The 18,963-nt window shown below is 32.6% G+C and overlaps 1 protein-coding gene across 59 annotated transcripts in view; it reads right to left on the bottom strand.

Moving 5' to 3' along the window:
* ADGRL3 (adhesion G protein-coupled receptor L3) overlaps window positions 1–18,963 on the bottom strand; it is an 878,010-nt gene that overhangs the window by 486,578 nt on the left and 372,469 nt on the right. For all 59 annotated transcript variants that reach the window (NM_001387552.1, NM_001322402.3, NM_001387522.1 and 56 more), the window contains one exon: window positions 4,318–4,531. In NM_001387552.1, coding sequence (NP_001374481.1) covers window positions 4,318–4,531 — 214 coding nt within the window. The remainder of the gene's footprint in view (window positions 1–4,317; window positions 4,532–18,963) is intronic.

Below are 18,963 nucleotides of genomic sequence, written 5' to 3'. Positions count from 1 at the left end.
ACTATTATATGTGAACAACCTGAGTCTAAAACAAAACTTAGATCGCTCCTTTAAATAGAAAAAAAATACTCCTACTTTGTACATTTAACACCTATACTTGATAGAAAACTCAAAAGAAATATTTTTAAATGTCTAGATTCATGATGTTTGATTCTAAGAGTATTCAAAATACAAGCAACATATCTATTTCCATACCTCCAGAAATAACTGCCAATATTTTTTCTATATTGTACCCACTGAAAAGCCCATTAAATTTAACTTGATTTTAAATACTCATTTTTTAGCTTTAAAATAATACATTGAAGATAAACATATAGACAGAAAGTAGATTGGACACTGCACAGGTTGGGGAAGGAGATTGGGATGAACAGTAATTGGCATGCAGAATCTTACTGTGGTGATAACAATATTCTAAAACTGATTTATTGCAGTGGTTGCAACAGTTGCTAAGTTCACTAAAAACATCACTGTACTATTGAAATGAGTGAATTATATAGTATATACAAATGCTTCAACAAATTTACATTAAAAATAAATCATTACATGAGAGAAGCCGGACAAAAAGTATACAATATATGAAACCTTTTATTAAAATTACAAAGTGGGCAAAACTAATTTAGTTTTTCAAATCAGGATAGGGCAATCCTTGTAGGAAGGAATATGGCTGGTGCAGAGCACAAGGGGGCGCTTTCTGAGGTGACATTAATTTTCTGCCTTATCTGTGATAGTTACATGGATGAGCTTGATTTGTGAAAATTCATTGAGGTGTACACGTATGATATACGGAATTTTCTGTAGGCATATTATACATCAATAAAACGTCCACAGCAGAACAGCAATAAACTTGTGAACCAAGGATGAGCAAAAGATTACTAGAAAAAAGCTATGCCCTTGTGTTCTTTTCTAGTGTTCTTCCACTTACATAGCTAGTATCACTTAGGTCTCTTCTGGTTCCACTAATGCTGCCATCTTTCAAGAAGCAGCTCTAAGATTTCCTTTCCAGTGAAATGCTCTCTTATATCATTCAGCTGAAAGAGCCTTCTTCCTTTAATCTCTTCAATACATATAAATGAGATAAAAAGTAAAATGTTGAGCAAATGGTATAGTTGAGTTTTCTCATCTGCCAAAAAATACATAGTTTTATGGGGAGAAAACACGACTAACTTATTTATCCATCAAGCCCAAAAGTAACTGTTATGGTAAACTGCACGTTGTAAACTTTCAAGTGCTGGTTAACAACTGAAATATTTCAATTAATAGTTAAGAATAACATGAAACCTAAGCTGAATGCCAAATGTAAAATTTCTAAAGTTATCCAGTTGCTAAACTGTAATTTTCATATTTAGATTTCCAAAGTTATGTGTAATATTTTTTTTAAAAAACTCTCTAAAATATATAAAAAAACAAAAAGAAATAGAAACCATTCAAATAATAGAGTTAAGAAAGCTTTTAAGTGGCATAACAAAATTAGCATATTTATTTATTCATTTATATATCCAAAGTTGGTTTTAGGTAAAATCAACAGGCAGTCTGCCTTCTAGAAGCCTACAATTTGCTTTAGACAAGGCAGCTGTATGATAATATAGGTTTGTTAATGTTTAGATGAGATTAAAGAGAAATGTAGGTGATAATAATTGAGTAAAAGTATAAGTTCCTGAGAAGGACAAATAAATCTGTTGTGATGTTTTAATAAGTTCTCTGGTTAGATATTGAAGCAGAAGTAAAGCATGGACGATTGGTGGGTGGTGGACAGAATGGCATGAGAGCACACGTGATTGGAGAAAATGCAATCTGGAAAGCAATGAAGAAAGTGGCTTCTCTAGACCATATATCAGATTGCAAAGCTCTACTGAAGAAAAATATGGAAATCAAGAGTTACAGCCTTTCAATTCAACTTCCAAATTTTTCACACTTAGCTTTAATTTACACATCAGTATGCAGTTTAATTTATGCCTTTGTTCACGTGTACTCACACATCTGCCTCAATGACATTTCATATCTCTCCTTGCCTAGAACATCTGTCTACTGCATCACTCTGAAGCAAGTTATGGGCTTTTTAAACAAGGTTATACAAGAATACGGTGATAATCATGCTGTTTATACTGAGTAATAATCCTTCATAAGACATGCTTAGAAACGTTTAGACTCTGATATAGTCTCTTTCTAGAAGTTTAAGCAAAAGAAAAGGATTAAGATACCTTTTAAAAAAACATGTTTTCCATTATGATTTCAGTTTAAATGCTTTAATCTATTTAAACTGTTTGTACCATTAGTATGATGTCCATACCATAAGTAGTAATTATTAGCATTATTTAACATGCTGTGGTTGGCGTAATAGTGTAACTACGTTCATTATAAAGCAGCTTAAATGGCCACGACATTGTGCCTCTTGGGAGCTTACAAAATAAAACCTGATTTCTTTTCTCAGAGAGTCAAAAACATTTACTTTGGACAAGTCTAAATCTAGTACATTTAACAGTTAAAAGGCAAGTGAGAAACTTGCTTCCATGGAGAATTAACCAAAGTTATTTCAGCTAACTGACAACTCATATTTGTGAAACCACCAGGAGGGTTTACACAAGTGATTTACTAACGGTGCTTAAAGTATTTTTACTCTACACATTTGTCACTTAGTGTACGCATCCCATATAGTTCAGTGACTCCAAAGGATCCATTATAACTACTTTTTTGAAATACTTATAAGATTAAAGGCTTATTTTTGGAGCTGTTAATAATATTAATGAAAGGATTAAAACAATTTCAGTGAAAATCATATACAGATGAAAGAGCTAATGCTTCTATTACATTTTAAGTGAAAAATGAATCAGAGAAAGGCAGAATTTCCTTCTCAACTCACATTCCAAATGAATTCTACAGAATCTTATGTTTGGTTAACTAAAACAAATAAAAATATCAGTTTAGTCATAGTGCCCACTGCATACTACTCATAGAAAACCACTCCTGAAACACCATTACAATACCTACACACAACTAAATAATCAGAACTCTTTCAGGCATAGCATTTAGTATAGTTGGAGGTATGTCAAATACGTAACGATAATAGAGACACACAAGAACAACAAGATGTAACCAAACTTTTATCAAATGAAATGCCTAATTTTAATATCTTATTTCTTATTAATGCTCACCTTAGCATGAGCCATCATTTTAGTAATAGACAAATAAAAGCCCTCAGATTTGCCCATATTTCATTACCCTTCAAGTACACATCAGTGCTTTAATCATCAAAAACCTGACATATTATAATTCGTATTTATAATTTATGTAATAGTAATTTATAAAAATAACATATTGACTATGAATGTATTAATTACACACAAAAATACTTATCAAAATTTTGAATATGAAGAAGACAAAAGGTGAAAAATAAGGAAGGCTTTCCTAAGTACAAAAGAGAGAATCCTTGAAATCTACTGTTTTTGTCTTTAGACTTCAATTTGTTTAGTTTTATCTAAAATATAGTTTTCCCTATATTTAAAGAAGTTCTTAAATAATAGAAGGAAAAGAAATAACTGAATAGCTGTAGGCTTATACTAAAGGAATGACTTTATCCCTGATTTCTGAGAAAGCATAGTAATAGTGAACAAATATCTAAGAGATATATAATACTTAGCTAACTTATCAAGACATTTTAACATAATTTAAACCTTATATAATATGCATTCCTACTGACCAGTCTCTTTAGAATCAAAAATATTTCTTACCCACTGATATTATATGATACATTCATTTATATGATGTTAATATGGCCATATTTAGATTGCTCAAATATTTAAATTAATTTCATATGCTGAATAGCAAAAGAATACTTTTAAAATTATTTTCCAAGGCCAACTAATCCTTAATCAATACTCTTACTACATTTTGATTAATGATTATAAATTACCTATTAATTTTTACTTCTTTTTTTCCCTACATTGTTAGAAAGTTATTGTTAGCAGTAAAATAATTTTTCTGCCATATTTGGAGAAAATCTTATTTTTGCAAATTGTGAAAAATACATTTATTCTTCTCTCATGTAATGAACTCAGTTCTAAAGAACACTATCAAAATAACAGCATGCAATGTCATGCAGACCATGAAATGTAATAGATAATCCAATAAATTGTAATACTTTCCAAATGCTGTTTGCAATTAGCATTTTGGTGATACAAGGAATAGTCAGATATGGAAAAACTATTTTGAAGTGTCCTAAAATACATAACACTGTTTATGTTCTTATGCTTAACATGTAACACAGATTGATGTTGAAGGTTTATATTGTGCACAAAGAAAAGAATATTAGAAGTATCATACCTTTGAGACATAATCTTATAGGCATCTGGCAGATAACATCGGATATTCTCCATCTGAGCAGGGTCAGAGTCACAAATTTTGTCATCAGTCCTGCCATAGTTGGCACTTTCTATCATGATGACGTCTGTTCCTGGACAGCGAAGCTCTATAGGATAGCTCTCACAGGATAGCTCTCTGCGGACCACAGCCATTGGAATTGGGGCACGGCTGAAAGCTGCCAAAAGGAAGAGGAAGAAAAGAGATGCCATCGTTACTACATACAAAGGAAAATTACATGTGTTCGCTTTTCCAATGTTTGGGGTAAATCAATACGAAGATATAAAGCAGTTAAGATTCATAATTTTAATTAAACTAGAATATTTTTCTCTTCAGTAACTTTATAAATATTTTTCTTCTAATCTAACAGAAACAGTTATTTCTTAAAATCTTTATCACACTTTTTTTCTTATAAATGAAAAAAGGCACTGTCGATTTTCTATTAAACTCTTGGCCTAGTGTGTCAGATTAAAACTAGATAGAAATATCATCCAGTTTATACAGTCAGATATTCAAATAAAACTTGCAAGTGTTCCTTTCTTCTTTCTTTTTAATAACAAAATCATCATTGAAAAATTGCACTATTGTTGACTTTAAATATACTTATTTAAGTAATCTATTTCAATTTTACAACATACGTCCATTGTTTTAGGCAATACTTTGTGAGTTCACTGTAGAACTAATGCTTGCTATTTATTTAAGAAAATGGAGATTCATTTGGAGGAAAAGTTATATTTTCCTTTAGCTCCTCCCCATACTCTTCCCCACTGTCAACAGGTAATTAGTTACCCATGTGGAGACCTCCCAATTAGAATTTTCTTCACAGAAACAGACATGTGTGTGTTCTCCCGCTCCTCTTTTCACTTTACTCTGAAAATTTTACTCAGGTAGTATCACACTATACATATTGTTTGATATTTTGTATTATTTTATTTATAAATGTAATGATATATGATGGAAATCTTTCCATATCTGGATATTGTTTCCTTCACTTTTAATGGCTACATCTCATAAATATATAAATTATTTAACTATGCCCTATGCTCATGGACATCCTGAAAGGTCTTGGTGTTTTTGTGTCATAATACTGCAAGGAAGCCTAAACCTATCTGTGCACCTTGGCTGTAATATATTTGAGAAAACCTAATTATCCAAATACATTTTAAGGTACATTTCTAAAAAATGAAATTGATGAGTCAAGAGGGCAATACATTTCAAATGTGGCAAATATCAATAGATTTCAAATAAACTTGAAAATGAATACTTTCTATCAACAATACTTTCTTCTTCAAAACTAAATATTATCAATTCCTTTAAGCTTTGTCAATTTGATAAAGAATGGTATAATATCTTTAACTTGTACTACTTTACTTGTACTGTGGAATATATTTTCATATGTTTATTGACCTTTTGTATTGCTTTTATTTGTGAATGGCTTGCTTACATTTATGTAAAATTTGCTGTTATAAAAGTTTTTTGTATAAGAAAAATAAACATTTGTCCTTCATATTTATGAGAAACACACTTTTTCTAGCTTGACGTTTAAGTTTAGATGTTTGCTGGACATATATATTTAATTTTTATACAGGAAAGGTCTGCCTTTTCCTGTCAAGTTTAACAGTTTCCCTCTCCAAGATTGTGAACATAATCACTACATTATTGGAAAAGAGTCAAATGTTAAGTTATGATAACTCAACAAATCTTCTTTTATAAGCATGTAATTTAAATTTTAAATGAAGCGTTTACTAACTGTCAAATAAGTTGATTTCCACACTAAGAGAATCAGTTATAGAGAAACATACATGATAGCTTAAATTTGCATTTATAGTTGATTAACTCACTAACGTGCACATGCACAAAAGACATGTATTTAAACAAATATGTGCTTCTCTTGTGGCTTTTTTACGAAGCATGAAATGTGAAAAGAAGGGAGGAGAGAGGCAGGGAGGTGAAAAATGGAGGGGCAAAGAAAGAGAAAACATGTAACTATAAATATTTTCTCTTGAAGTTTAGAGAAAATATTGATTTGGTTTATGAAACATATCTATAATTTAAAAGTTGAGAGTGGTGTTGGTTTTTACCTCATTTGTATGATATTTTTGAAAAAGTAGGACTGTACCATAGACCCTAGGCAAAACTTCTTAGCAGGTTAACAGGTCACTTGAAGTTATTCAAGCTGCACTGCACAGTTAATTCCATTCTGGTTGGTGTTCAGCATTTTATTTCTCTCTCTCTCTCTCTTTCTTTATTGTGTGCACACACATACACACACACCCATAGAAGAATCTAGCACATCCACAGCATTGATTGAAGAGAGTTAGCACAATTAAAGGTTGGTTATAATGTTACTTTTAAAGTTTGTTCTTGTGTCAACACTTAGCAAGGTACTCTCACAATAGACACTGAATTTGTGATATGTGCATTTCTGTTGTCCCTAAAATAAAACTCTTTGTTTATCACTCAGAAATTGGATGCTTATTTAAATCTGAAGTCCTTTTCAATACTGAGATGCTATTTTCATGGATATAGACATTTTCATAAGTGTATTTAAAGTCTTATATAATAGAATCATTGAATTAAAAAAAGGACTTTGGTCAATTTAAATGGAATCATAGAGGTGATTTTGTTTTTGTTTTCACAAAAGGTCCTTAATATCAGAATTCCCTGAATGTTTTAGTGTAAACTTTTATACATTTATCAAGAGACAAATTGTTTCTTAACTTTTATAACCATTTTATAAAAAATCACATTGAAACTGCTTCCAAACATTGGATTCATCTAGCTATAGTATGTTGACTAAACCAGTCAATTAAGTTTTTTAAAAAAAGGTTAATGTAACAAAAAAATAACAAATAAGCAAAAAGCATTTGTTTCAGTAAGTGGGGAATTTGGTTTATTAAACTCATGGGTCAATTTTGTCAATACATTGACATAGCTGTAATCTGGGTCTTCACTGTTAAAAATATGATTTAGTACCAGACACTAGGCAGTTGCAAAGTCAGTTAAAATGTCGGGGTCCAAATTTTCCATGTATCTTTTGGACTTGTAAGAATGATTCAAAAGTTATGGGTATGGCAATTTTTATGGAGTACCAGAGTTTGTGTATGCTTTCTTCCATTGAATGTATAATTGCATTTATATCATCAGTAACCCAGTGACAAACTGCACTCCATAAATGATGGATACTTTGTTTACGGGAATTTGTTAATGGGAATGTATGGCTGGAAATTACTCTATAACATTATCTAATTAGCTATTTAAATTACTTTTAATTATGTTACTAACTGTTTTAATAGCAACCAAACTCCAAAGGAAAAAAAAAGGTTTTTGTTAAGAAAAGTTTTTTGCCATTCAGTTATCATGCTACTAATGGAAAGACTTGGTTAGAAGAGGAAAACACTAAAACATGGAAAATGCCAACAATTCAAATGCAGAGTAATGAGTCAAATAGTCTACTGCATGTTGTGCCAGGTTAACATTGCATTGGGCATTGTGGAGTGACTCATAACGTAATAATTTGGAGGAAAGAAGGCATATACATACCTTCTTATGCTCCTTACCACTTTTATTCCATGAGGTAATCTGTTATATCAAAGAACACAGTGTCATCTATTAGGTGTGTAATAGATATCTGCTGAATAAATTGGAAAAGTTTTAGATGTGAAATCTGGAAACCTTCTGCTAGGATGCCACACTTTGGAACTACTCACTGACCACAGGACTGACTGAAGGGACATGAACTAATTAAACATCTCTGATAAAGATGTCAGAACCTCAGAAAGTTTCCAAAATTCATATCAAACATACAGCTAGTGAAAAGTGCTTTTGATCACATATTAACTGTGAGGAAAGCACATAAAATATAAATATCAAATAATAAAAGAAATAGCTCCCTATTCTTGCTCACTTGTTTTCCGCAGAAATTAATCCTATTCTTTACTTCTTTTCTGAAATTTTAGCCACTTCATTATTGAAACCTCTTGTCATTCTGTTTCCTTCTCCTTGGGGTCTCTCCCCTACTGATAAGCCTATTTGGTGCTTTTTGACTCGATATGCTATAAGGCCTTGATGAACTTGTGTGTGATGGTAACTAAAGATACCAGACTAGGGATGGGAAGTCAGGAGGCTAGAAGTAGGTGACCGATCAAGAGTCAGGTGACTCCTCTTGGTCTCCATGGACTGGGGTCAGAGACTTGCCAAGGTAACCCTAGGCTATTAACTAGGGGCTTTCATAGAAGGGAATATTACTTCAGACATGAAATTATGGGACAAAACATATCAATAAGTAAAAGACTAAATATAGTCTAAGAGGCAAGTAGCCAATTAATTGGTTGAGGTTATAACAAATATAATTAATTCAGTTGAAATACGTTAAATTTAAGGTGTCAGGATATCTGCAAATGGTTAATAATCAGTTGAATTCACGAGTCTAGAATTCAGGAGTAGAATATAGGCTAAAATCATGTTAATATATAAAGTAGCTAAGTGAGTGTTTCTAGAGTAAGAGAAGAGGGATGAACAAAGAAGTTGGAATATCAGTGGTCACTGACGACTTGAAGAAGGTGCTCCTTAGTCATGGGAGAGATACACAGAAGGTCATTTCATATCTATTCAAGGAAGATTTTGACTGTATGGACTAAATCACCTGCCATTGCACTAGGGGAAGGGAACGTAAATAATTACATGATAGATGAATCAAACATTTCTCTGTCTCTCCCTGGGCCAAGTCTTCAATGTCCTAGTCAAATCTGTTTTTTTTTTTCATGCATTGCTCTACATATTTAGCGATCCAGTCAAAAATGAGGGCTACACATTAATGGTAGACTGGTTAAAGAAAATATGGTACATATACACCACAGAATACTATGCAATCATAAAAAGGAATGAGATCATATCTTTTGCAAGTACATGAATGGAGCTCAAAGGCATTATCCTCAGCAAACTAACACAGGAACAGAAAACCAAACACCACATGTTTTCACTTATAAGTGGGAGCTGAACAATGAGAACACATGGAGACAGGGAGAGGAACAACACATACTGGGGCCTGGAGGCAGGAGCGGGGGGAGGGAGAGCACCAGGATAAATAGCTAAAGCATGCACGGCTTAATACCTAGGTGATGGGCTGATAGGTGCAGCAAACAACTATGGCACCATTTACCTATGTAACAGACCTGCATGTCCTGCACATGTATCCCAGAATTTAAAATAAAATTAAATTAAAAGAAAAAAATAATAAGAGCTACAGCCTAATCTCCATATAGCAGAGATGAAAATCTTCAGACTGCCCTATTTGTCTGTTTGCTACAATTATAAAAGCATCAGCAAAATGGCTTATATTTATATTTATTTTCTATTTCCTTCCCTTCATATTTTGTTTACTCCAAATCCTATGTATTAAAAGCAAAACAACAAGAAATCTATCAAATAATTTTTTACAAAAGAATCAATAAGAAATGCAAATTAGAAGGCTATTTCATAGTAATAAAGATAAGAAAAGATGGTTGTTTTAAATAGGTAATGATAAAGAATGTATTTGAACAACGTTTAGGAACAAAAAATTACATGATTTGATGACTGACTGAACATGTAAGGTAAGGGAGAGAGTGACAAGAATGGCTGCCACGTTTCTGACATATAAGCAAATGGTTAGATTTTAGTGTCATGAGCCAGATTTGGTAGGAAGTTAAATATACAAGTCTATGAATCAGAAGAGTGATCTTCATCAATTTGAGAGTTAAAAGGTAGTGCTTAAAAATCACAGAAGTAGATAACGATAACCTAGGGAGGGAGATAGTTAAAGAGGTCCATTTGAGTCAGGATAGGTAATCAAGAAAGCCACCATGTCCTGGAGACACAGCAACTATGGCCCTTTAAGAGCAATTCTTTCAGCATTCACATTGTAGTCAAGTTCATTCAAAAAGAGCTATCTCTAGGAGGGAATTGTCCCGTGGAGGGCATGCGCATTTTGATTCTACCTGTTCTCAAAATTACTCTTTGCTGATTATAATAGTGAAAAACACACCCCTGGATGGAGATTTAAGATGCTAATGAGACATGTAATGTATGAACAAGCATGTACAGCTACCGTGCACGTGCACCCAGAGGACCACCCAGAACATGCTTACTAGTAACAGCTCTTCCCACCCTCTCATGAATAATCATGTAAGGTGACTCCCATAAAGGGAGTTTTCCCAGTAACTGTGGCTGTCTAATCCTTATGAGCAGCCCTCTCTGAATCATCTCTCAGGGTGTACTGTCTATTCTGCACCTAACTTTCAAAATATTCTTTCTTCTTTGCTATAAATTGCTCCATGCTGCATCTCCATTGCTGTGTTTCTCTTGTTTAAATTCTTTAAACTAAGAATACAAGAACCCAACTTTCACAACAGCCATCAACACACGTGGCAATTTTAAAATGTGTTCACAGTTCTTTGATACTCTTCCAGTATTCTTCCCTTTTCTCTTGAATGTGGATGTACTGAGTGACTCGCTTCTAAAGGACTTAGTGTGGTATAAATGAGTATGTGATTTCAGAGAGTAGTTCATTAAAAACACACTGCCACTTCAGCCTCCCTTCAGTCCCTCGTTTTATGCAAAGCCAACTATCATATCTTGAGAGCACTCAAGCAGTCCCATGGAAAGGTCCAGGGAGCAAAGAACTGAGGCACCCAGGATGAACTTCGGATGCACATGAGAGAGGCACCTTGGAAGCTGGTCTTCCATCCACCAGAAAGCCTTCCTTCAGGCAACTGCAACCCCATGAGAAACCCCGGGGCTATACCCAACTAATTAAACTACTCCTGGACTCCTAACCTACAGAAACTGTGTAAGATAATAAATGTTTATTGTTTTAAGCCACAGAGTTTTTGGCTATCCAATACAGCCCAGAACCAAGCCTGAAAGAATGTTTAAAGAATTGACACTGAAACTGTTAGATAGATATTGAAAAATTACCAAATAAATGAAAGAAAAATATTATGAATGATCGTACAAATAGTCTAGTATTACCATCCGTTTGCTTAAACAGCATTTAGGCTATTAGTTTTTTATGGAAACAGTGTTGAATTACTAATAGGTGCTAAAAACGATTTTTTGCCCCTGCATCTCACTGATCATATGAAAAAAAGAGCTCTTTTGAAAATTAAAAAATAAAAATGAAACAGATTTGATTCCTCTGAGGAAGTAGTTAATTAAACTATTTGTAAGTCAAGGCTAATGATTCTAAAAGAGTTTCTTACATATCTGAAAGTGGACATGATTCTACTTATTGGCAATGCCTTTGAAAAACATTTCATTACTTCAATGCTGCCAAAAAGTAAATATTATCAATTTTAAGTTTCAGCAGAGCTTTTGACATAATTTTCTTAAATACATGTATTTTCTCCGTGTCATTTTACATGCCAACACATTTATCTAAGTTTTAAGAAATGTGCTCTGAAAATCTAATCCAAAACACTTGGCAGCAAAAACAACACTGGTAACCAAAAGAAATAACCCATCATCTACTTTCTTTAAAAGAACATATGCTCTCAGGAGACTTCTAATACACTGAATTCTAACAATTCTATTTCAAAAAAGAATACATATAATTGAAATGGCATTTTAGCATTTAACTAAGTGTAACAAAGTGACAATTAAAAAAGAATAACCAAAGACAACTATGTTCTGAGGTCAAAAGAAAAGCATGAAATTCAGATGTTTTAATATACAATTTCTGAACTTATAGAAAAAAATTCTAATGAGTGGTACATCATCAAACAATTAAGCAGCTATTCTTTTGACTTACGGAGCTTCATCATGAACCTCATCCTTTTTGAGGGCACATACACAAAGTTGTGACCTTCAAATGAAATCGTCTACCTGAGGATTGCCTAAAAAAGCAGCAAGTGTGTGAATAAATGCATTTCATATCTACTTACTATAGCATTTCAACATTTAATAGAAATCACTTTCCACATTGTCTTCCAATTCACGAGAAATAACATTTCTAAAACTTTGTCAAATTTCACATATCACAATTTTCCCAATCTTCTAAATGTCAAAAAATCCAAACTGGCTGTTTAACATGTTCTTAAGAGTAAGAACTGTAATTTCAAGATAAGCAAGAATCCACTAAAAAGAATTATTTAGTTCAAAAGAAATTTTTTAAAATATGCCAATTTAATTCTAAATGCATATTGATCCCTTACAACGTGGATGCTGGGAATTATTACACATAAGACATGGGTGTCATCTGAAGTCTCCCTTCACATTAGGTATTATCTCAGGTCTAGGAGTGGTCCTATATGGGATGAAGTTCCAAGAGTCTAGCAGAAGCTTCAGAGTTAACACATGAAATCAAGGAAATGATAAAACTTCATGTATGTGAACAAGCTCCCAAAGGCAAGGGATGTTACTCATGATTAACAAGACCAGAAAGGGGAAAGTTCAGAGCAGGAGAGAAGAGATAGGCCGATGACCCAGAAGATGGATACTAAGAATCTTTCTGTCTCCATGGGTCTCTAGAAGCTTGTAGTTGGAGAAAGAATGAATACATGCCTATGCAAAGCTTAAAACATTATAAAGCAGAATGATGTGGAACAGATAAAAAGTAAGAATTTCAGAGAAATCAAATAAACATGTGCTAGTGTGCTTAAAAAAGATTTCTCGAATGACGAAGATTTGAGTTGGTCTTTAAAGATGAAACAATATGTATGGATATCGGAGAGGGGATAGTAAAATACTTCAGGCAAAAAATCTGAGCAATGAAATGTGCATTTACAAGGGAGGTAGGAACAGAAGTGAACAGTAGTAAAATCAGAGAAAGCCTTAAAATTAGACACAGAATATAGCTCAAATTAGTTAAAGCAATAAAAGATTATGATATAATATAATGACATAATAAAGAGATTTATCAAATTAATCTTAAAAATTATTAGCCAATAGATTATTTAAACAGATTAGGGTTAAAGGAAAGAGAGTGTGGGTATTAATGAGGAAGATACTGGAATGAGCTATTTAGGGCAATATGACAATGGTAATCGCTAAAATTTATCAAGTGTTTTTCCTGTACTGGTGCTTTAAAAGTATCACTTTATTTCAAATTCCCAATGATAACAGTTTAGAAAAATTATCATCCCCATTTACCAAACCGTGGCTTAGACAAAGATAGGAAGAATAGAAGGCATGAACGAGAAAGTCATAGAGATAAGATGCAATAACTCTCCTTGGGTGTCACACACAGAGAAAACAGGAAAGGGAACTTCTTTTAGGAAATATGTAAGGAAATACAAGAATATCACACCAATAATCAGTTGTATAATCTTTATGGTTTCCCATTTCATTAGTGAAGTGAAATCTAATTCCTGAATATGAAATGTAAGTTAAACGTTCTATTCAACTTATTGTGCTTGGCAGGAACTTTTTTTCTTAACAGCACAAAACATAATATAATTTTAAGAATTCTTTACTAACTAATATACTATAAAAGTTAATATGAATCTTTGTATAAAAATCTACTGTACTAATATAGAAAATCATTACTTCCACTTTAAAATGTGACATTCATTGTCAAATTTGGTCATTACCCTTTTTTTTTCTTTTTTTTTAAGAGACAAGCTCCCACTCTGTCACCTAGGCTGAAGGGCAGTGGCATGATCATATGTCACTACAACCTCGAACTCCTGGTCTCAAGTGATCCTCCCACCCCAACCTCCTTAGTAGCTGGAACTACAGCCATGCGCCACCATGCCTGGCTAATTTTTTTTTTATTTTTTGTAGAGACAGTATCTCACTATGTTGCCCAGCTAGTCTCGAACTCCTGGCCTGAAGCAATTTTCCCACCTCTGCCTCCCAAAGTGCTAAGATTACAGGGGCAAGCCACCTCATCTGGCCTCAGCATACTTTCATAGCAGTATATAAACATCAATATTCTTTATTGCAAATCAACAATTACAAAGTTTATGTTATTCTTATGGTGGAGCCAAGAAAATTTGTAATCATGCAGATTTTAACAGAAGAAACTTAGTGAAGAATAAAACAAGTTTTGAATGAATGGAGGTCACAGTTAAAACTATACAAAATTTTAATTTTGAAGGAAAGGAGTTATTAAGCAACAAACAAATGCCTCACTGCACTATACATGCTTTTGAGAAATGCACAATCTATTCACATTCTTCCCTTCCCTCCCTCATCCCCCCCCCATTTCCCTAACACACACATGCACACACACTCTCTCTCTCACACACACACACATACACACACACACACACAATTATTCACTGGAAAGGACAAAGAGCTTTCAGTGGCATATAATTTTTGTTTTGTTTTGTTTTGTCCCTAGGGAAAGTAATACTAAGGCTTTTCTTTCTAATTCTGAAGCATAAATCTTCCACAACAGAGACCTTGTAATAACTTCTTTGGTAATACCTTCAACATTGAAAAACATGTACAACAATATTTATACATCCATTATCCACAAGCTTTACAATGACTTTGGAATGGAAAATATTCCCCTTTATTCACCCATTCAGAATTGGACAATTGCTGTCTACGTAATCCACCTGAGATTAGACCAATAAACCTAACCATAAACAGTGTGACCAAATTTGTATTTTCACATTGTTATGTTTTCCAACTAAAGTTTCGGAGTGCATGTTTGTAGCAACTAGAAGTTGATATGTATTCCACTAGACTATATTTGTTAGGAATAAGTCTGCAAATTGACTATGCTGCTTACAAAAATCAAATGATTATTCTTTATTTTATTTCCAGTGAAACTTTCATTAACAATGTTTCCAAATATATTTTTATTAATAAGTTGACTGCACACTAGATGCTAAATGTAAATTCCCACTCTAAAGACAGTGAATCTCTACTTGTTATATCGGTAAATGAGGAATGCATTAACCAACCAAGTCTCTAAACCTATGAAAGCCCAGATCATTGCCAAATGCTAGAAATGTGGGACAGGAAGAGTAGCCAGTTTGTTTGTTCATAAATTCTAATGACAGTTTTCTTCCCAAAGCACAAAAAATAATCAGGATGTGATAGACTAGCCAAAATGAAACCATCAATTCTAGGCAAAATATACCCTCAAAACCAAGGAAAAGCCCCACATCGTATGCTGGATAATGCTGGACACTAGTGAAGACCTTTTGAGTGAAAATGAAATATGTAGCTGGTTTAGAAAGAAACTGTCACCTCTCCCAAGCTTTGCAGCAAAACCATCAGAAATATTCTGAATGAACAAGTTTTTATGGTCTAAGAGGAGTAACAACAACAATGATATTCTGAAAGGACAAAAACCAGCTCACACACTTAACTTTCTAAAGCTATATGAATTGACTTCAAAAACCACATAAAGAAATCACAGGAAACCGGTGAAAAGGCTTTACCAAGGATTATATGTTGGAAAACTGTCATGAAATGACACAGGGCACGTAAAGCACTCTATTATATTTGTTCAGCTCAACCACAAAATATACCATTGGGGTTAATAAAACACATTTTCCCTCCCACAAAAAAATCAATAGAAAGTCTTTATAAAATACATTTTTCAGGGCCACACAGCTAGTTTCTAGACTAGATTAAAATAAAGGTTCTGGATTTCTACACATATGTTTCCTCAATTCATTAAACATATAATTAAACACAAGTTGTGAAAGAAAAATGAATTTTCAAAATGGTGGTTGAGAAATACATATTCTGACATTCCTGACTGATAAATATCAACCCTTCACCGCAGTGATTAACTTCATTAATTTGTCCAACAAATAAAAATTGAGCACCGTTTGAGATGGGTGAGTATTCAGTGGTCAATAAAACATTGTTTCATCAGTTTATGAAATTCACAAAGTAGATGGGGGCAGGAGATAAACATTAAAAATCAATAAATACATAACATTTAAATAACCCCAAAATGTCCACAAGAACTATGATGGAAAAACAAAACAAAATATGATACCATGAGACAACATACCACAGTTTCATCCATAGGTCACCTGTCTCCGTACCTGTCTCTGGCTCTCCCAAGAAAGTGGGGGTATCCAAAATGATTTTAAACAAGAGTATTTTCAAAATTACTAGAACACAAATTTAAAATCTCATAAAGCATCTGTTCTCTATGTTATTCAAAATAAATTATTTCATTAAGTCTTGCTAAAACTCTTATTAGAGGAAGCTGAAAACATATTATTAAAAACAGACATTTACTTGAATCAATAAGTTATTGAAGGAGAAAGTAGAAAGGATGATTAAAATCTCAAATGGCTTTCTGTGATTCAAACCAAAAAAGAGTAAATGAGGGGATAAACTGCATTCCTTTTTCTGCTTCAATCAAACCACATCACGTTGTAAGAATATTCCAATACAGGTGGTTAAGAAAAAATCAACTGACATTTTTAAAGAGATTTTTAGTTCTTTAATTCAATTGATGTAAAAGATAATATTCCCGAGAAAGCAGCTGTAAAATGATGCTTGCAAACATTAATAATAATATATAAGCCTTCTAATATTAATAATAAATAACATACTAAAATTTTCTCATATAAATTAGCCAATTTCTCTATTTCTAAAATATTTACATGAGCAAAAACAGTAAATCCTAAAATTATCATTTCAGGATTATAAAGTGAAATGAACATTGTTTTTCATGAAAGAATCCTTTCAATGCCTAGAAATGTGCCCCAGCTTCAAGAAATACATCCACCATTAGAAATATATTAATTCAAAATTGTTTTGTATGTCAACCCATCTTCCTGTCAAACCATATTGATTCGTTGAGTTTAACTTTAATTATATCATTCTGATCATCTATTTTCATATTTACTGACAACTTGGCTGTGCTCTAGTATCTCCAAGATTCTTGTTTGATGTTGATTATTGTTGATATTTTTCTACCCTTTAAATAAGATTCTGTCATTAATATTTGTAATAAAATATTTTTTCAATTACCTTGCTCACTGTATTTAGACTGTAAGTTCAGAAGGCATTTTGCCAACATTTTACTATTTCAAAATTAACATTTCTACTTAATTAGTAAGGTTCTAAAGTGATAAATTAATAAATTTTTATGAATGATAGTTACATCCACATACCTTATTGCAATTATTCTATTTATTTATGCTGGATTTCTCAATATATGCAAGATGTTAAAAAAGCACACACACATATACACAGATGCACATATGGCTGCTTTACGAAAAATGTGCATTTTTAATTATCTTTCTAGTAATGCTGATGGTTTAGTTTAGGTCTGATGGAGTTGCACTCTTTCTCTTAGTTTGAGTTGAAGCCGACTTTCATGGTGACTGGATAGGTGTAAATGCCCTAGTTATAAAACAGGTTGAGTGACAAAGGCCTTTTGGTTTGAGAATGAAAGTATTTCCCTTTAATCAAACAATTTTAAAAATAAACTATGAATGTATTTTTCAACATTCTTCATTTTTATTGTCTATACACTTAAATGGTCAAAGTTTTGTATTGCTATTCTGCCACTTGAGCTTTCAAGAAAGAAAGGTTAGCGGTTGTTAAAGTCAAATACCATTCCATAATAAAATGTGAATAATATCCAGTATTTCACAGTCACTATGCTTTCTCTGATTGTTACATATGTCCAAGCTTGTAGCACAGTGAACACAATTTAGTAGCCTTATTTATTGAATATAGGTCAATAAGAAGTATTTTTCATTTCATTCTTTATATTTATCAGTTTTGATTGAATGGCCTTCTTGTCCAAAGATGCTCCAAAGACACACAAAAGAAGATATTCTAGTTGACAAATTGATGGCAAATATGAATTAATGGATTTCTATTTTGCTAAAAAATAATTTAATATTACATGAATATCAACTTAGAAAAAAACTGTTACATCACATTAGGAACAGAGTGGGATTACCTGAAGGGAATAATGGAGAGGGGGAAGAATTAGAAATTAGATATATGTTCTCACAATCATTCACTGATTCAATGTGCATTAAATGTCTATTTAGCATTTATGAAATAAGTTTAAGCATTTGAAAGATGGAAAATGAAAATAAATATTTTCTTTATAGGGAGCCATGGTTAAGATGAATGCAGATATATTTAAAATCTGTGTACTTTAATGATGATAACACAAATTCAATTTGGCGACTTCATAATTCTAATTTGGAAAAAAGGAAAAATACGAAACTTTCCAGAATATTCAAAATTATATAATATTAGGGCCAATATAAGCGACATACACATTATATTTAATGGGGTTATTCTTTCAAATACGACAGAATATCCTGCTGGATAGCAATACCTTACACTATGCTTAGCACACTGTTGGTGTTGAATTTTTATTGAATAAATGCTTTTACATCCCTAGCTTTCTGTGCTAATAAGTAACTGTTATGTAGGTCCTAAGATTTGGCTCAGATGACCCATAAATCTTATTTTACAAGTGCCCTAAGAGTTTGGCATGTAAATTATCTGAATTTTTGGCAAAAGATGATCATTTACATAAAGATCCTTGGGAACTCAAAATGCTGAAAACAGTTCTTTCTTTGGGTGGTCTCATAGATGAGGTCAGATCACACGATGGAGCCTTGAAGACATCATGGAACTTTTACATTTGAAATAATTATAAAGCTCCAAAGTGCT

The sequence above is a fragment of the Homo sapiens genome, chromosome 4, assembly GCF_000001405.40.
Source record: "Homo sapiens chromosome 4, GRCh38.p14 Primary Assembly".
NCBI lineage: Eukaryota > Metazoa > Chordata > Mammalia > Primates > Hominidae > Homo > Homo sapiens.
Note: the sequence above shows the minus strand (reverse complement) of the source record. Positions and strands in the feature narration are given on the sequence as shown.